This window comes from Homo sapiens, chromosome 13, assembly GCF_000001405.40.
Source record: "Homo sapiens chromosome 13, GRCh38.p14 Primary Assembly".
Taxonomy (NCBI): Eukaryota; Metazoa; Chordata; class Mammalia; order Primates; family Hominidae; genus Homo; species Homo sapiens.
The window spans coordinates 67,138,980-67,160,173 of NC_000013.11; the positions used below are offsets into that span (position 1 = coordinate 67,138,980).

The window sequence follows — 21,194 nt, forward strand, 5'->3', positions numbered from 1 at the left end:
AATGAATCTTGTATAGTAAGGATCCAGAGCAGTAAGATAATACCTGTATCAGGAAGGAAATGCCACTCCGTTCAATTCTCAAGGGCAAAACTCTAGTCAATCCTATCACATGTGCACCTTCTTCTGCCCTGACATCTGCCATGTCTTATTTTGCATAAGCCATGGTGAATTCTGTCAAATCACCCAAGTAATAACATAACCATCTGAAACATTAACTGAAGACTTTCTTCTGACATCGGCTGTCACACTATGTGTGAATCAAATTTGCTTCATTAAAATAATTTGGGTTTTGTTCTGACTGCTCAACATTGCCATTTGAATCTGTGAGCAGCCTTATTGACTCTTAACCGCTATTACCAAGTCTTAATCGCTCAGAGATTCAGCACAGTTGGATATTGCAATCAGAGCAAATTCCCCATTTGATTCCAGCACAGAAGTTACCAATGAAACTAACAGAGTGATAATACAAAATTATCCGACTTCATCTCTTTTTCTCTCAATTCTCTGTGACTAAAATGAAACCATTTAGGAACTTACTTGTAATCTGCTATTTCTTGAGTTTGCAGTGGCTACTGAAATGCACTATTGTAAGATTTCGAACATATCTCAAATATACTACTATTATACTAAATATACTACTTTAAAATTAGAAGTGTCCTGATAATCAGCAGTTTTGCTTTTCAAAGTGCACGACTTGTACATCTGGTTACCCAATCCAGTTGAGAGGCAATCATAATAGGTTCAGGTTTCACCATAGCACGACATCTGCTCTGCAGTACCCAATCTGACTCTGCATATGAACCCTTGAAATAAAGTCATTATGTTTTCATTAAGTCCAAAGCAGTTCACATCAGCTGACATTTGGTCACAAATGATAAACAGTTAATAATTAAGCCAACTGAAATATTTTCAAGTACGCTTTTTTTGGTGCTTGCAATTATTTTTGTGACAGGATAGAATAGTTTTCTTTCTCTGAAATACAACTTCATAGGATAATTCCATCAGCTGCATTCCCTTCTGCTACTGAAAATGTGATTTTTTGATCACCCCCCCCCCCCCGCCCATTGTGTTATTTTTTAAAACAACACTATTCTTGGAGTTTAAGGAAGGGTTAAATCAGAAAAGAGCATGCTTGCTAGCATCAGCGGCTACTTATTTATGACAAGAACACTTTTAGTCAATTATTGTCTGAAATACTAAATGTACCTCCTGGGGTCCAGCATTTAGTCATACAAAGTGTCTGGCTCACATTGCCAGAACTGACCATTAATTATGATGGCTACAGGTAACAATCCATGCATAGCTTAGCTTTTTCTGGAAATTTTACAGCACAGAACCTGTTAGAGCTAAGGTAAGATAAGTTTGCCAGTGGAAAAATTAAGAGAAAAATATTGCAATATTTGAAAGACCCTTTAAAGTAACTAATTCAAGTGCTTTGATTTAGAAATCAGAAAACCCAAGAGAATGATAATGACAAGTACATACAAATGGTATTTAGCTGCTTCAAGTCTAGAAACCAGTCCTCTTTTTAGAGGTATGGAGCAGGTCAGGTGTTTTCAAACCTCAGGGCCCTTAATAATTACCTTCAGTGCTTTATAGAAAGTAATAATTCTAGGTGTCCACCCACAAAGATCCTGATTTAATTGATCTGGGATGGAACCTATACCTGGTATTTCTTTAAAAACCCCAGCTAATTCCAATGTGCCTCCTCCACTCTACTGATCTCTTTATTTGTACCTTCAGGAGAAATGCTTCTCTTTTTTTAGGATAAGAAACAGTTTGTTCTTATTTTGATAAAGGCATGCCCTGGCCACTATGAGCCATGTGCAGCACATTTCTCTCATCATCTTGGCTGTTAGAAAGTTTAAAGTCAATTATAAAGTGAACACTGTGTGTCTGCACAGTACTTCAGTGAATATATTCTTTCCTCGGTCAGTTTTATGATCCTAATTTTTCTTTCTTTTGCTTTTTCCCCCTCATTTTTTTCTGTAATATTTACTCTCTTGCTATTGTATGTATTATTGGAAGCTATCTTTTCAGCACAACTTGGGCCATCAAAAGAGATAAGGAACTAGACGCCTAAAAATGTAGAAAAGAAAATAAAAATATGTGATTAATGACAATTAGCATCCTAAAGAGTTTAGAATGGCTTTATCATTTTGTTTGGAATTCCAAAAAGCCTTACGATAGACAAAAATAAAACGAGAGAAGAGCACATATGCAATACAGTGGGCTAAGTGTTATGAGTAAGTGGAAAAAGTGAAATGAGTTGAAATGCAGACGGCATGAAAGATTAGTAGTGGGAAGAAGAAAGAAAGGGAAATGGGGCCGAGTGTGGTGGCTCATGCCTATAATCCCAGCATTTTGGGAGGCTGAAGCAGGAGGATCACTTGACCCCAGGAGTTCAAGACCAGCCTGGGCAATATAGTAAGATCTTCTCTCTCTCTCTCTCTCTTTATTTTATTATTATTATTATTTTTAGATGGAGTCTAGCTCTGTAGCCCAGGCTGGAGTGCAGTGGCGCAATGTCAGCTCAGTGCAACCTCCACCTCCCAGGTTCAAGTGATTCTCCTGCCTCAGCCTCCTGAGTAGCTGGGATTACAGGTGCCTGCCACCACGCCCAGCTAATTTTTGTATTTCCATTAGAGATAGAGTTTCACTGTGTTGGCCAGGCTGGTCTCAAACTCCTGACCTTGTGATCCACCCGCCTCGGCCTCCCAAAGTGCTGGGATTACAAGTGTGAGTTCCTGCGCCCAGCCAAGACCTTCTCTCTTAAAAAAAAAAAAAAGAAGTTGGGAAACAGAGTGATGTATCAGTATTGTATTATACAGGGTAACCATAATCCTGAGTCTCAAGAGATTGCACCTCCTTTATCATTCCTGATTTTCAGGCAACATGATATGGCATCCATTCTGCATCAATAACTCTTTACAAAGTGTCTGTATTTTCATCGTCGGTAAGAGTCGCTTCTACACCATTTATAAATATGGAATTTGAAATTTTATATAAAATTATATATGACTACCTAAATACATATTGGGTTAGAAAATACTGTGGTGGTGTTGGTGACTGCTATTTTATGTTACCATCAAAAGAAAAAAATAATTTTCCTGATATGAGAACCTGAGGAAACATGGAAATATCAGAATATGCTCATTTAGATTAAGAATGTGGAAAAACCCTTTTCATCCCATTGTTCTGCTACCGTAAGTTTTTAAAAAATCAAACAGAATTAAAATTTTGTACAGTTTAGTAAATTTATAAATTTTAATAGACTTTTATCTGGCTTCATGTATCACCATTAATTGCCTTAGTGAAGATCTTACATTGATTCAGTATGGAAATAAAATTGTTCTACATAAAATACCTATGACAAAGGGCTCAAACTGACTCTATATAAAAAACAGGTATTTTACCAATTAGGACTTATAATTTATTTTGATTTTGTGGTTTTAAAATCAGCAATAGTTTTAATGGTTCATACCTGATGTTTGAATTTTAAATGAAAATAAAGGTGACAGCTTAGTTCACTACTCTCCTCCTGGTAATTAAAAGTGTTTGGCATGTAGTATGTGCTCAATAGAATGTGAGAGAATGAGCAAAGACAACCTTTGAGAGTGTATAGTGGTATTAAAAAAGAGTAAAATTAAAATACTGAAAGAATAAATGAATTCAAATAAATGCCAGGAAAATTATGGTTGGATTTCTGAAATAGAAACCTTTGCAAAACTTAAAAATATGCCAGGCCCGGTGGCTCATGCCTGTAATCCCAGCACTTTGGGAGGCCGAGGCGGGCGGACCATGAGGTCAGGAGTTTGAGACCAGCCTGGCCAACACAGTGAAACCCTGTGTCTACTAAAAATACAAAAAAAAAAAAAAAATAGCTGGGCGTTGTAGCAGGCACCTGTAATCCCAGCTACTTGGGAAACTGAGGCAGGAGAATCGCTTGAACCCCGGAGGCGGAGGTTGCAGTGAGCCGAGATTGCACCACTGCACTCCAGCCTGGGCAACAGAGCTAGACTACGTATCAAAAAAAAGAAAGAAAAAATAAGAAAGAAAGAAAGAAAAAACAAAAACTTAAAAATAAGCTCATAAATGTTATGAGAGCAAAATGAAATGAGAAAACAGGCATTAAAAAATTACACTTCTTTCTCCTAATGTATATTAACTATATCTAAATAAGATTGTTTCATCAAATACATTATTAGCATCTTGGACAACAATAGAACCTGGTGATTATTGTTTTAATAACTCATTTTTACAAAATTGTACTCTTCACACTTCCTTATAAATGCCCCAAACTGAGCTTCACAACAATCCTATGAGTTGGAGGATTTAATATTAAGGAACTAATAATTCATAAACCTTGTAGTTAAGTTTGGTGTGCTCCAGGTTTGGGGCTTTTGTATACTATTCCCTCTGCTAGTTATTGGAAAAATGGTTCTGGTCACAATGACTTCAAAATGCAGATGAGCATAAGATCACATGGATCAAGTACCAGGTCATTCATTTCTCCCCTTGTTCACTTTTACTCAGAAGCTGAATAGTAATATTCACCCATTTCAGACAATTTCCTTCAAAGCGGTCTAGCCAAAATAATAATAATAATAATAAAATACAACTCCATAGTATTTATATTGAAAAAAGTAGGAGAGCTTTCTAAGATGTTTCTTCTCTGTTGGGCTTACAGCTATAGGAAAGTCACAAAAATCTAGAAAGAAAGGAAGGGAACACTGCTGGCCAAACAATAGACCAGACCCTGAGGAAGAAAAGCAGAAGGGAGAGAAAGTCTGCATACATATAGCCTCCTCATGACAGAGGATTCCATTTGAAACTCTATGTTAAATTCAGTCTCATTTAAAGTGTTCGCAGTAGTTACATTCTTTAGGAAGACGATGAAAGGGAAACTGAAGAGTGCATCCCTACAGATAATAAGGTGAGTCATAAGCATTATGCATCTGTACGTTTTGGGAGAATAAACATTGCCAGGAAGCACACTTTCCATCTCCTCCCTTGACAAATCAGGTCCAATATCTCCCTAAAGGGCAAAACTATCTCAAAGAAATTCCCTTTAGTCCAAGGAAGGCAAAAAGGTATATTTGGAGAGCTTTCTAATATCAAAATGTGTGAAGAGGAAATGCAAATAGGACTATCTTTAGAACTCTAGAACAGCAATTCCCTTTCCTGGTGTTGCCACATAATCTCCAAAAGAGGATTTTAATTTGCTTTAATGATGGCGGGCTTATTTGCCAGGGAATAATTTAAGGAAGGAAAGGTTTTAAAATGAAAGAGGAAGAAGGTGCTACAACTTTGTAAAATTTGTAATAACTGTCTCCTAGGAACAATACTCTTCCATCTTTGCTTTTCATCCTGATTAATAGTGATCATGTAAGAAGAGGCTTGCTGTACAAAATATCCTGTCGTTGGAACTGTTACTAAACAACATAAAGTCCAGTGTCTATTAATTCTGAACCATCTCAATTAGTGAAAATCTCATATATTTTATAAAATATTCACACTGAGAAATAGCTATCGTTCTGGGAACAAGTACATGAATTAAATGTGTAAAACATTAGATACTTGCTAACTACCAAACTGATATTGAAAGAGTAAAAATGTCAAGGATCCTAAATCCCTGTATGAAGGATATTTTTTCATTCACTACTAAAGAATGCTAATAGAGTGTGCAAAGAATACCTTTGTATATCAGATCCAATGTTCTTAATAATTTATTCCACTTAACGTTTTAAAGCTATGGATGAAAGGTGAGTATGGTATACATTAAGGAGAAAAGCAGGCAAAGAGGACATACAAATGTTCTGTAACTCACTAAGTACTTTCTTCATACAAAAAGCAAGATGAATTGGGAAATGCTGTCTCTGCAGTCACATTCTTTTGAATTAAAAACCTCTCATGTTTGTCAGTGATTTAAATCCCACCTGTCACTTTAACCCCCTTAATTCCTACAATAATTTCCTGTATACATTAAACCACTCAAATTGTTCTATTTTACAAGTACCTCTGTGGACTGCGTGGGAAGGTGAGGATGTTCACAGATTTTCAGATTCCCTGTCATCATTAGTATTTGACATAGAATAACAGGGGAATGAAAGTCCTTTCTTTTTCTTCCTAACTGGTTTTAAAGGGAAAAAATCTATTACACACCATAATACAATGCGATGATGACAGTTTAAAACATCGATCTCAACACATTTTTCATGATAAGAGTCCGAAGCTGTCTTTGTATGACTGTCTAAATATTAGTATCAAAGAGGAAGTTTTCAAGAACTAATGATTTAGTCTGAACAAGATGCTTGTAAATGAAGTGTCTCTCTATTAAGATGCTTAGGTTTCTTTCAAGTGTTCTGAATTAATTATTTTACCTTGTCAAATTTTTTTTGTTCTTTCTTTCTCATACATGATGGGAATGTTGAGGGATTTTGTGCACCTCATTTAGTACCACAGAAGCTCAAGAGTCTTAATTAAGACAAAGTATGATTTCTTAATAACAAGAAGAGACTATTCATGCTTAATAGGAAAAAAATCTTACCTTATTAAATTATTATAATCCACATTATAGTTTATTCCATAGGTCTTATAGTATAAAATGGTAGACTATACAAAAAAACCCATCTTTTGAAGTTTCAGCCATATATTCATATGTATGGCTTCAAATCCAGAAATAAGTAACAGAAATCTCTTATGGATAAAGACTAAGAGAGGCATTAATGCAAACCATCCATCTCAAAAGGCAAATTACTCCTAGATGGTTACTGTACTATTTTTTATAGGATATAAAATATACTAGTATAATGAATGAAAAGTCTTCCTAAAGTGTTTAGAAAGTCACTTCAATGACTTTCTTCAAACTTCAAAAGAGATGATATATCTGTCAATAAAATGACACCAAAATCATATTTTATAAAGATTTTATATTAACACTTGCTTTTGAAAGATGACATTATAGGGTCTTAATATCTATAATCAGAAAGTCCTTTTCTCAACTTGCAAGGCAATAAGTTTAAGAATTAATTCTGTCTGCTATAAAGCTGGCTTGCCTTTAATCTTCAGATTTAATAGGACTCTTTTTGCTGAATGTTTTAGGCAGGTAATTGAGGAAATAGTCCACGTTTCATTTCAGTCAACATAAAATGACATTGAAATGTCTTCAAATGTTTCCAGGAAATTCATGCTAAACAGTCTGTCTGTTATACTTGACATTGAATAAGAACAGAAATCCCTGTATTTAATAAAGCCCTTACTAAGAATTTAGATAATGAAGCTGCATGCTCAGGATAACTTATTACAAATTAAGATACTTATAATATCTTAACATACTTAATAAATAAGCATACATAAAACACATATAAAAATGTGAAAATGTGATGATTTGTACAATGAAGAATATCACATATATATCATTTCCTCCAAGTGAAATGTATTGGTATAATTTTGAAGCCAAACTCCTGAAATATAAACCAAACCAAACAAACACAACAGGATGATTGTCCTTGGTTTGCTCTGATGGACATTTTGATTCAGGCTTTCTGCCATTATTTGTGTCAATGAAAATCTTGAAAAATTATCTGCTCAGTAAATTTTGTAAAGTGCACAAAAATATGCATGGAACATCGGAAACCAGCAAATGACCCTATCCAAAATAGATCCTTCCAGGAATCTTTGAGACTGTTCACATTTAGAAGCGGCAGTGGTTACATTAAGGAGTTATGAAGGAGTCCCAATTCTGAAGTGCTTTCAATGCTTGTGGATAACTGGCAACTTCTTTCTCTTTTATTAAAAGTACTCTGCCAGAAAAGCCTACTTCAGTCAAAACACACTTCCACTTAAGAGTTGTTTTATTTTTTTCTGAACATTTTCGTAAAGTAAATATTGAAGTTTTCTTCCTCCTTTTCTCTCTTTTCTGATAGGAAGTGAGATTCTAGTTTGTCAGGAAACAACTGTGATTCCGGCTTCCTTTTTTTAAGTTTAGTTATTCATTCATGGTTCTGAATTTTGTTATATAGGTGCCCAGAGGCAAGTGGAAGCATTTTTATACAAACAAAGTAGATAAACAATGTAGGAAAGATGCTCTAATGGACTGTTTCTCTGCTCCCCTCATGTAGCCTACAGCATTTTTTTATTCTGCAAGTATTACAGTTCATCTGAAAAGACTTCCGAAATCATCATTTTCAGGCTTAACTTTCTTTTTTATTCAGTTTCTTATCAGCAGCTGAAAATAGGATGCTAGGATGCTTAAACTTTCTATCAGACCTTCATTTTTCAAATGAGAGATAATTTTCAGAAAAATAAAATGGTTTTATCTTTGCAATTATTCATATCTACTTAGGGTATTTTTAATAGCAGAGGTGAAAGTGGGGCAGGAGGAAATGTGAGAGGAAGTACACATCGCAGATATAAAGCTGGGAATGTGTATCTACCAGAATAGCAACAACATGCTGTTTGGTTACAATCTAAACAGTCAGGGCCCAGTCTTCAGCTCTCCTGTTCAGGCAGCCTGCAGTGTCCCTGGAGAGAGTCTACGCTTGCCTTACATTAAAGTGACCTCTTTGACTCATGTTCACAGCCGTGTTAATAAGCTTGAAAAAGGTGCCCTATCCAGTTATATTTTTTGAAAAACCAGAAGAAATAATAACTGAGACTGAGTACATTTGGAATAAGGCCAGGGAATTTGGGGACTGTCTTATAATTACTACCTTTTCCATAGCCAAAATTGTTTCTTTGTATTTCATGGACACATTTACAATGTCCACTGTTTATACATTCCCTCAATGAGTATCAGGAGAATGCCTTTGCAGATAAATTGCTAAGAAATAGCTTGGGTATGGGCCAGTTCTCTTTTTGTTTTTGGTATGTGACCTCACTGTCAAAGCATTCCATCCTTCCTCTCTTCCCACCCCCTATCCCAGTAAATGAGTATGCATTACATGCAGGATAAAACTATCATATCCTTAAACAAATGTCCTTTTCAAAAGTGTAATATAAAGCAGACCCAGAAAGTCGGCTGCTATAACGATTTCATGTTTTGCTGATCCCGGTCTTTTCTTCTGAAAGGCTTCTTAGTGGTCCCCAGTGAAAAGTTGAGATCAGCATTTAAATGCAGGTCTATCTTTTTAACATACTTTAAGTCCTCAGAATTCACTAAGTCTCAGTGGCTTTGAGAATTTATAAGCGTATCTAAGATGTTAAGGCTACCTCCATGTCTTTTTTTTTTTTCATCCTGCAAAATTACATTAATTGGAATTTGTATTTTTCTTCCCCTCTGTGATTTGAAGGAAATATACTACTGAATAAGATTTCTTCAAGACCATTTCTTTGTGTGAAGCAGCTTTCCCCAGACAGTTAGGGACCAATTATAGGAATACTTATAGTCTTTGAATTTTTACAGCTGATGTACACTGGTTCCTCTCCTAGGTAACAGTAACATGCACATGTGCAATGAGTCACAGGAAAGAAAAAAAAAAGAAAAAAGTAATTATGTTGTTTCTTGTTATATGCAATAACCAGCATTTGGTTAGAACACCCGTGCAAGTTTTAATTTTAAATGAGAAGATGAAGGCAAAAGAAGCCAACTTCTTTTTTTTAATTACCACTTTTCTGCATCAATCAACATATTCATTTAAATTTAAAACTTAGCATTTTATATTTCAGTCATGTTTTTCTTCGATGTCCTTTGAAGTCCTTATCTATGTTCTTTACACATGTCATAAAGACATTTTTATTAACCATTAAAAGCCTGAGAAAAAGCTGATTGAGGTTTGAATGTTTCATATTCTTAAAGGTTTCAGTCTACATGTTAAATGGCAAAAATATAGCCACTGAAAACTGTCCCAGGATGAATTTAACAAATAGACATTAATTTGATCTTTAAAAGATGTATTATATTAAGTTTTTGATTCCTATGATGGAAAACTATTATATGATTTTGCCAGTTCTAGGTAGGAATGGAATCATCCAATGAACAAACTTTTACTGCAAGGCTGCAACTACAGTAAGGCACCTATAGAGCAAAACTTACAAAGGTTTTTACCTTACCTTTAGGTTCATGCTCAAATTTGAGCTCTCAAGTTCCTGCTCTAACCTACTACATGGCACCATAGCCCTTATAGACCGACTACATGCCAATGATATTGTAGGTCTCTTGAAGAAATATTAAGATGAATAATTACATTTAAAAAATGATAAGATAGAAACTTGGCCTGCTAGAATTTGTGAGTCTTGAAAACTTTCCTATCAGTATGAAAACAGGTAGCATAATATAACAAAGACATGGGCTCCTGTTGCTGACGGCCTGAGCTGGAATTCTGCTTTACTTCCTATGCGTGTCATGTTGGATATGACAATTTCAATATTTCTAAGTCTCATTTTCTTTATGAATTCTTTATAGTCATAGTACCTACTTTAAAGGTGTGATGAGAATTCAATAAGATATTTTAAGCAGTGCCCAGCACATTGTTAGGCTCTGATAAATATTTATTATTGTGATTATCATTATCATTGTATTTACAGGAAAGGAAGGAAACAAATCTGAACAAAACATCAACTTTCATACAAAAGAAAGGAACATTAAAGGGAAAATAAAACTGTAAATACTGCTAATGGTCACGAATTTTTATTTGATTTTTTATGATTACTAGTTATCCTAAGATCACAAAGGAATTACGATTTCAACTTCCATGAAGAAAAATTACGTTAAAGATTTTTGCTTTGTATAAAAAAAAACCCTAAGATTATTAACTTTAAAGCTAAATAATGGCAGTAGTAATAAAAATACATTTGTATGGCATTTGAGTTCTAAAAACTATGCTTTTAGCCGAACACTTTCATGCAAATTAGCATGTTTAATCGTTATGAACACCCCATATGGTATTTTTAATCCCCATTTTGCAAATAAAAAACTAAGACCCAAGGTTACAGCACTTCTTAGTGGTATTGATACTCACTTTTGAAGCCAAAATTTCAAAAATAAAAGTCTTTTCAGGTCATATGTAGGCAAGAATATTTGCAGTTTATATTTTAATAATAAAACATAATTTGAGTTTTATTTATTTTATTTTTATTTTTTTGATATGGAGTCTCACTCTGTCACTCAGGCTGACGTGCAGTGCTCCGTGCAACATCTGCCTCCCAGGTTCAAGTGATTATCCTGCCTCAACTTCCCAAGTAGCTGGGATAACAGGCATATGCCACCACGTTCAGCTAATTTTTAAAATATTTTTAGTAGAGATGGGGCTTCACCATGTTGGCCAGGCTGGCCTCGAACTCCCGACCTCAAGTGATCTACCTGCCTCAGCTTCCCGAAGTGATGGGATTACAGGCATGAGCCACTGTGCCTGGCCCATAATTTGAGTTTTAATCAATACAAAAAGCCCAAAGTGTTGGTTTCCATACAAGTCAGAAAAAATCAGTATTAATAGAGAGTATTAATTTTATTAAGCCACATTTTGACTGCATTAGTAGGTAAAAAGGATGGAAAACTAGGACATCTTAAACAAATGTTAATCAGAAATATAATCATTAGTTTTCATATTCATTTCAATGGCCCCAGGGTGTTCCCTCATTCAATCCGTTGGTTTTGCCCTAATAATAAGTATTTTAAGTCATGTGATTCTTAAACACAATACATCCAAAACATGTGCCAATAATTATATCCAGAAGTGAGAACAATAATTTCTAAATAACTAGAAAACCATTTGCAACTAACATAAACTTGTTTTAAATTTACCAATAAAACCACTGGCAAATAAAGTAACTTGTACTCGCCCTTTGTAAACACAGGTGTTAGTGGTGTTCCCTAATCTAATAGAACTCCAGGAAGACTGTATCTTTCCACTGCACTACTATTGGCAAGCACAGTTAGTCTTTAATCCCTTTTAATCCAACCTACATATACAACAAGATTAGCTTTCTTGTTTAACCAACTTTGTAAGTCTCACTGCCCAAGGCCTTCCAATTGCTTCCCACCATCCACTGCCTAAGTAAACCTTAGTTTAGTCTTAATCATAAGACTAGATTCAACATGCACCATATATGAATTATACTTAAAATACTGTTCCCTCTGCCCTCACTTATTTTAATCCAGAAAAATTCTCCATCTTTTTCAAAGTCCAGTGGAAGGCTCATCCTCTTCTTGAGGGTCTCTTTGGCCATTTTATTCAAAACTCATCATTTGATGAGTACCAATAGCTCCTTTTTTAAAAAAAAATCACATTCATGTGTTTTATCTCTGTACTATCTTGAAATAGGGCCATTTATTGTGATTTCTCTGCTACTAAAGTCAAACTGATAAGTAGGGATGGAATTGTTTCTTAACGTTTGTATCCCCCAATTTGTTCCTCTTTAGGGATATTAACGTTTAATGCAATGAAAGAACATGACCTTATTTCCTACAGCCTTTGCACATCTCTTCATGGGTTTCTGGTTGTGGGTGTCTGTGTCTGAGATGCAAAAAGCAGAATTGGGTTCTACTGGTAAACTCAGAGCTCCTACTTCTTTTATTGTTTGCCTGAAAAAAAATAGGCATAGTTTTGACTTAGGTAGGGGATCTAAGAGTACTGCATCATTCCCAAATCCAACACTGTTAGAGTTAGAAGATCCTGTATGATTCAAGCACCTGGTTTCACACAGTGACTAAGGATGGGGAATATATCCCTTCTACAAGCTGGCAAAGCTTTTGCTCTATACTTAGAGGAAGAAAAAAATTCATCTTTTCAATCTATCAAAACTGAGGCACATAATAATTGAGAGGAGAAACTTATCATTATGCTCAGGGACTTTATGCTTTTGAGGCCTCATAAAGGACTCAGGAAGTATCAGCCCTTGTATAGCTGCAGGCAACATCTCCACCCAATTCTAGGCCACACTCATTTTTAAGGCACCAAAGCTCAAATGCACTCAGGGTCCTTGCATCATCATTTTGCCTAAAGAGAGATAATTTTTTTTTTGTTACAAGACTATATGAATGAACTAAAAGACTCTTAAGGATACTTTCTCATCTCATAAAACTCTCATCCCAAGTTACATGAGATAAACTGAAATAGTATTTTACAAATTCCTCCAAATTGTATCTTCTTATAGCTGAAGAACTTACAAGACTTTTTGTGTCCTATTTGTTCCAAGAATTGTAAATTTTACATGAAATAAAAGCATAATCTGCCTTTTGGAAGTGAGAACATTCCATACACCCAGAAGAAACCTGTATGTTTTACTGTTGATAGGAAACGGAACTCTGCCAGGCAGTGAACTAATGAATTACAATTTGGCAGCGCTCCATGCCTGATACAATTTAGTTCAAATTTATGAAATCCACTGGTTCCAGAAATCCACTTGTGCCTAAGGCCTCTCTGTACAGCTCAGAGTAAAAAGCATGACATTGCTAGACTTCTGATTTTACCTTATTGATAAAGAAAAATTTACAAACAACAGATTTTTCAACCTAAATCTCTGAACATTTCTTCAATTTTTCAACAACAGTAAATCAGTTAAAATCAGCATATCTTTGGTAGATAGCAGAATATTTCTCAATCTCTCATTAAATCGAATCCCCTTAGACATAGCTGACCTACACATCTCAAGAAAATGTCTGCAGCCTCATAATGACTGATGCCCTTGTGGAAAGGAAGGAATATAAAGCTTGTTCAAAGGCGTGATGTCTCATCCTTATATTCTTTAAACAAAATAGCCCCCACTTTTTTTTCCAAGTGAGGGAAAAAGAGTAAAGCCTCTTGATTCATATGAAGAAAGAATCATCATTACTGCTACTTAAAACTCACGTTCTTTGGGCAAACCTCTTTAAAAATCACACTGAAGGAGTAAGAATGAGGAAGATGAGAAGGTTTTATGTTTTTAATACCTAGGAAGAATAAATCTAGGATGGTAATTAGAGGAATGAGGCTTAGGCCTCAAGGAAACAATGTTTTCTTTCTAAAACGCATAGAGGGTAATGACACTTCCTATGTATCCCCCGCCCCAGTGAAGAATTCCAGACACTTCTCCAACTAGCCCTCATCACTCCCACCTGGAAGTGCACTCATTCTCACTTCTGGGTTTATGGACATGCTCGCCTCTCCCTCTTTCCTGCTTGCCCTTGGATACCTGGATGGCCTTATGACCCAGTCTAGGCAGCCTCTTTGTAACTCCTCTCTGACTAAATTAGTTTTCCCTTTCACAGTTTTTTTTTTTTAAGATAGGGTCTCTCTCCGTCCTGCAGTCTAGAGTGCAATGGTGCGATCATGGCTCACTATAGCCTCAAACTCCTGGGTCCAAGCAATCCTTCTGCCTCAGCCTCCTCAGTAGCTGGAACTGGAACTATAGGCATGTGCCACTGCACTTGGCTGATTTGTTATTTTTTTTTGCAGATATGGTGGTCTCCCTATGTTGTCCCAGCTGGTCTTGAACTCAGGGCTCAAGTGATCCTCCCACCTTGGCTTCCCAAGCGTGGGGATTATAGGAGTTGGCCACCACTCCCAGCCCACAACATTTTAAAAACAAGTATCTTATAGCACTTTTCACAATACACTTAACTTGTTTAAACATATTTTCTGTTTTTCAGATTATGAGCCTCTCACCTAGAAACGTCTGTTTCATAACATCTATGGATGTCGTTTTCACCTTTGTATTGTGTGAAATGCCTTACACATTAAGGGCATTCCATATGGTTGATGGAAGTTATATACTTAAGCAAGTTTCTAAAAAATAGATACATTTTAAAACCCTTTAGTATCTACCCTCTTTGCTAACTTAGAGGTTTCTACTGTGATTCTTTTATTCACAGTTACAGGAGGTTTACCATTTGCTGAAATAATACATTTACAGTCTAATAGGCACTGATGAAAAATGTAGTTTACTCTGAAACAACTGAATTGCCAAAGGAAATCATGTTGCATAAATGACAAAAGCAATACCAGTCTCATCTGGGCTTGCGACCTTAGAATTAAAAAGACACAAAATGAATATACGTGTATACTTTGGCACCTTGCTCGAGGCATATATTGTTTTGTGCAACTAACTTAAGGAGAATTGGTGAATTGAACTGAAGACAAGTGTAAAGGAAAAAGAATAAAAATAAACAGAAATTTAAAATGGCAAAAACTCTTCCTCCTATAAGACAAAAAACAGTACATGTATATAAGATAATTAAGCACTAGTTTAGAACAGGTAAGAAAAGATTCTATAGTCAGGTGTGGTGGCTCATGCCTGTAATCCCAGCACTTTGAGGGGCTGAAGCAGGTAGATCCCTTGAGCCCAGGAGTTTGACAAAAGATATGTAATAAGAGAATGTGATGAAATTAGATAAAAAGAAGTGATTATAGGCCAGATGTGGTGGCTCATGCCAGTAATTCCAGCACTCTGGAAGGTGGGTGGATCACCTTAGGTTAGGTGGATCGCCTGGGCAACATGGCAAAACCTCGTCTCTATGAAAATACAAAAATTAGCTGGGCACGGCGGTAAGTGCCTATAGTCCCAGCTATTGGGGAGGCTGAGGCAGGAGGATGATTTGAGCCTGGGAGATGAGGCTACAGTGAGCCACGATTTTGCCACTACACTCCAGACAGGGAAACAGACGGAGACCCTGTCTCAAAAAAAAAAAAAAAAAAAAATATATATATACACACACACACACACACACACACACACACACACACACACATACAAGATACTCTCTTTTTTGATAACTTATGTTGTGTTAAGTAATTTTGATCTGTAATCTTTTTTTTTTTTTTTTTGAGACAGAGTCTCTGTCTGTCACCTAGGCTAGAGTACAGTGGCAAGATCTTGGCTCACTGCAACCTCCGCCTCTGGATCCAAATGATTCTCCTGCCTCAGCCTCCCTAGTAGCTGGTACTACAGGTGCGTGTCACCACACCCAGCAAATTTTTTGTATTTTTAGTAATGCAAAAGAGACAGGGTTTTGCCATGTTGGTCAGTCTGGTCTCGAACTCCTGATCTCAGGTGATCCACCCACCTGAGTGGTGGGTGGGTGGCATGAGCCTGGCCTATAATTATTTCTTTTTACCTAATTTCATCACATTCTCTTACTGTGTTTCTTTTGTCAAAGGTGTTTTACTTTCTGTACAGACGGTTTTCAATTTTGTATTTTGTCATTCCATCCCAGCTTACCAAATATTTCACAATTTCTCACCAATTTGCCCTTTTAAACTTATATCAGTTATTTTTCAGAAGCAAACTAAAACTGTCTGGAACTGAATGCAAACGGCCAGCAGGCTCAAGTTATTCCAGTATCATTTCCAAATCTTTCAGGTTTTTCAGAGATATTTCAGTGCTTCAGGCTTTTCTAATATTTTGAAATTTGTTATAAGGTTTTGAAATTTGTTATAAGGTTTTGAAATTTGTTTTAAGATTTGGTGGTCAGTTGATATTACTGTATCAGAGGTTAGAATGTTCCATAAGCATGGGAAGATTTCCAAATGGAAAAGAGGTGTAGAAAACAAAACTGATTTATTTTGAAATTGGATCATAACCTTAAATTGTAATTATCAAACTTATGAAAAACAACTATTGTTGCATTTTTAAAATAACAAGGGAGCATATGTTAGATGCTTGATGTGTTCCATGACGTGATTTTTTAAAAGTTATCCTCTCTTCAAGTCTCAGGGGCATCCTCCTTTTCCCTCTGTGTTTTCTAAGGAATTAGCAATGTTGTCAGAAGCTAGATACCCTAAAGGAAATATAGAGAACACTAAGAATTGTACAAAGAGGGGTAAAACATTTGAGTCACTCTGAAATGACCAACAAAAGGAAGCTGTTTTGTGGGAATAATAATAATAATTATTATTATTATAGTAAAAGCAGTGGCAATCTCATCTGGCTTTTACTTAGGTGTCTAAATTCTATTCATACCTTAGAAACCCAACTCAAATATTAACACAATCTCAAAATCTATGCCTGCTACAGCGTTTTTGGCTTGCTCTTCTTCCTGCCTGGAACGTTCACCTCCCTGATTCTCACATTGCTGGCCAATTTCATCCTTCAGGTCTCAGCTCAAATACAGTATCTTTAAGGATGCCGGAGATACAGGAGTGCTGGGAAGGCAAGACCATGGTCCCTTTAAATGATACGGGAGTGCTGGGTAGAGGAAGGGTGTGGTCCCTGGCTAGGGCTCCACCCCCACCGACCTAGATGAGGACCTGGCACTCCTGCCTGCACGCCCAAATGTTGTATTTCCCAAGACCATCCTGGCCCACCACGGCCCCATCCTGTGACTATAAAAACCTGAGACTCTAGCAAGGCAAAGACCGAAACGACTGGACGTGTAGAGGAGCGGATCAGCAGAAGAAGATAGAGGCAGGGGGATGTCAAATGCAGCATATCAGCGTAGGAACACACAGGCCGTTGAAGCGAGAGAGGAGCACATCAATGAAAGAAGGCACAAGCATCTGGATGGCGAGAGGATGTTGAGGGGAGCATGGCAGCTGAAGAGCACACCGACAGGACACACGCCGGCACTGTCCCGGTGGGAGTGGGATGAGGCGGAGTTTGGTGGGGGCAGTGGGAGGAGAGCCCTGGCCGTGGAGTGCCCCAACTCCAGGGGAAAACCATCTCCCTTCTGGCTCCCCCATCTGCTGAGAGCTACTTCCACTCAATAAAAGCTTGCACTCATTCTCCAAGCCCACATGTGATCCTATTCTTTCGGTACACAAAGGCGAGAAACCCCGGGATACAGAAAGCCCTCTGTCCTTGAGATGAGGTAGAGGGTCTAATTGAGCTGGTTAACACAAGCCTATAGATGGCACACTAAGAGAGCATCCTGTAACACACGCCCACTGGGGCTTCAGCTGTAAACATTCACCCCTAGACACTGTTGTAGGGTGGGAGCCCCACAGCCTGCCGTCTGTATGCTCCTCTAGAGGTCTGAGCAGTGGGGCACTGGAGAGCCACACCCACATCGCATGCCCTGCCGGGGGACTACTGAACCTTTCCCGTTTCACTAGCATATACAATATAACCCTCTGGCCTATCGCTTTAACACATTTCCTCAGAGCGTTCAACATCATCTGTTAAATACTTGTATTATAATATTTTATCTCTTTATTTCTTTTGCTTTATAAAATAAATTGCTTATCTTTTCGGTAATCCCCTGTATCCCTGATGCTTCGATCAATGCCTAACATATATTGAATTAATATTAATTGATGAAATAAATGGATAAACACACTCCTTCCTGAGTATGAATATATCTTAACTGTATCACATAACTTTTTTCACATTCTTCCTTGCCTCAACGGTTTGCATATATTTCACGTAGGTCACTTATCACTATCGGGATTTATGTAATTTAAAAATCTCCTCCATTAAATTGCAAATTTCTTGGCAACTGGATTTTCTTATATTCATTTGTTAAAATTTGCATGCCTTTAAGACATACATATACTAACTGCTCAAATAATATTATTTAAATGAATGGATGTAAATTATACTAAGGGCAAGTTTAAGAATTATTATTTCCTTTTTACCCAGAAGCTTAAAAACATTTCATTTTCTAAAATTCTATGAGAAGGCATATATATGATTATAGCACTGGCCTGTGCAGTGGGTGAACTGTACTGACTCTCACACCCATGCAACATCATGCAAAACTAAATGTCTGTAACTGAGTGATTTCTTTAATTGGATAGGAAATGGACAGAAAGTAAAACTTGCCATGAGAATTAATGAAAAAAATACATGTGAGTAAGCAAAATATAATTATGAATTATGGTCAATTTTTAGCCAAAATACTTATTAAATATATTTTTCCTGTGATCAGAAGGGCCTTTAGAAGAAGGCAGCCTTAAGTCTAGCACGCAGATAGATTTTTGGGGGAAGTTTGAAAGTTGAGTTTGAAACCTTAATGGGCATCATCATTTCTTCATTGCCAGCATAATTCTCTCAGTCTGGGCTCTGGCAGAGAAATAAGACAACTCTCACTGCAACCTGGGGGTTGACATTAATTAAAAACAAAAAATCATAAAGCATCTGTGGTGAGTTTAGATGCCAAATGAGATGGAGCGAGTTTAAAAGTAAACTTCTTACAAAGGTAACTGAATGTCAGAATCTCACATTTTTAAAACGAAGATAATTAAAATACTTCTCTTTAGTACATCACATGCAAGCTTTCGTGATACATAATTAGTATCACTAGACTGTCTAATATTCCTGAGAGATATTATAAAGGCATAGAGATATTAGTGCTTATTTTAGGCCCAAAGAAAGTAAACATATGCATCCTCATTTTGCTTCATACAATGTAAGCTAATAGAACAAACACCTATTTGATTTCATATATCCATTGCTTGAATATCTATGTGGCTTGCAAACTGAGATCAGAAATTAAAAGTGCGAACTTATACTTTCAGAGTTTTTAATGCCAATGAATGAAAGGCCCTAAAGCATGAATACTGCTATGGACTGAATGTGTTTTCCCAGAATTTGTTTGTTGAAGCCTAAATCCTCAATATGATAGTATTTGACAGTGGAACCTTTGAGAAGTAATTCCGTCATGAGGGCAGGGCCCTCATGAGTAGGTTAGTGCCCCTATATGAAAAAGTAGAAGGAGAATCTCTCCCTCTGTCTGCTATTCAATTAAAAAGTGGCTGTCTCCAAACCAGGAAAAGTGCTTTCACCAGACACCAGATCTGCCAGCATCTTCATCTTGGACAGTCCAGACTCCAGAACTGTGAGAAATAAATTTGCTGTTGAAGCCACCCACTCTATGATGTTCTGTTATGGCAGCCCAAACTGACTAAGATGGATATCAAATAAATTGGTTTTGTTACAGCTTCACTCTTTATGAGATATAGTCGGTGGGACTTGCTGTCAATGATATTTTCTACCACAACTATCTAATTTTATGAACACTGAATGACTCAAGCAAAGGATACATAAGCTACCATGCTAAAATTATACTAGTTTATTTCTCATTGGAAAGACGAAATAACAGTCTCCCTGTAGACTAAAGCACTATCAAACTCCAAATGAGGTAGGGTATCACCCTATCCACAGACAATTAGCCAGACACTGACCCAGTGTCACTATCTTTAATCTTCAAAAGAACCATAAAAGGAGATGCTATTATGGCTCTCATTTTGAGTAAAGAAACTGCAGATCAGCAAAATTAGACGATTTCTTTGAGATCCTGCAACTGGATATTGTTGGCAAGAAGGGAGAGATTTGAGTGGGAGGAACTCTAGGCAAGAGGGTTGCCCTATAAGGTGACAGCCTGGATTTGACCGGGATTGGTGGGTTCCTGAGACTCACGGGTTCGAGAAAACAAAGATGGTCATAGGCAACACAGGAGAGTGGGCCACCCTGTGTAGAAACATAGAAACCACAGTGAGGAGGTTAGAATTGATTCTAAGGGAAAAGGTTTACTGCTGAATATGTTGAGCAAAGAATGACATGACTTGAAGCCATCATATTGTGTCACATCTGGCATACTACTGGCACACTTGGCCCTTCACAACCCATCTTGAAATGGAATGGAATTTACAAAAAGAAAAGCGTAGAGTGAGTTCTTGGACATCGAGTAGGAAATAATGGAGGTCAGAGAAACCAGACTGGACCCCAGAAGGGAGAGTAAAACATTTCGAAAAATAAAATGTTACTTGAGATTTGCAGTTTATTTAAACATTCTCATTAAAACCTTTAAGATAACTGGAGAAATTACTAAACAGGCAGGTGGTGAATGCTTTTTTGGCCTGAAAAATGGTAACACACTTTTTTAGAGAATAGATTTATTCAGTAATTGACTAAAAAACAAATTCATTCAGGGAAAAGAACAAAACGAACCTGACATTGAAAACAATGTAGCAATTAGTGCAAAGAAAACAGATACTGTAATAAAGAAGCAACTAAACTATGTAGCCAAATACGTAGTTTTATAAGAAAGGGGCCTTTGCTGGTTTCTTTTTTCTTTCTATTATTTTTTTGCATAGTCGCTGAGATTTTAAGGGCTTCTTTGCAACTATGCAAATGAAGAAACTCCTGATATGAACTTGTTTCCTACTTCTTCCATTGTCAAAGAACTCCAGCTCAGCGACATTCTGAAGAGCCTCCTCAGATGAGCATCTCTGCCATCTGGGAAATTCTGACTCCTCTGAATTTTTGTGATTCATTTCTCTTCAGCCTTGTAGATTTCAAACTAACAAATCATCATCTACAACAACAGCAAAATGCAA

The 21,194-nt window shown here is 36.7% G+C and overlaps 1 protein-coding gene across 6 annotated transcripts in view; it reads right to left on the reverse strand.

Moving 5' to 3' along the window:
* PCDH9 (protocadherin 9) overlaps nucleotides 1–21,194 on the reverse strand; it is a 927,503-nt gene that overhangs the window by 836,146 nt on the left and 70,163 nt on the right. The gene's annotated exons all lie outside the window — the stretch shown is intronic.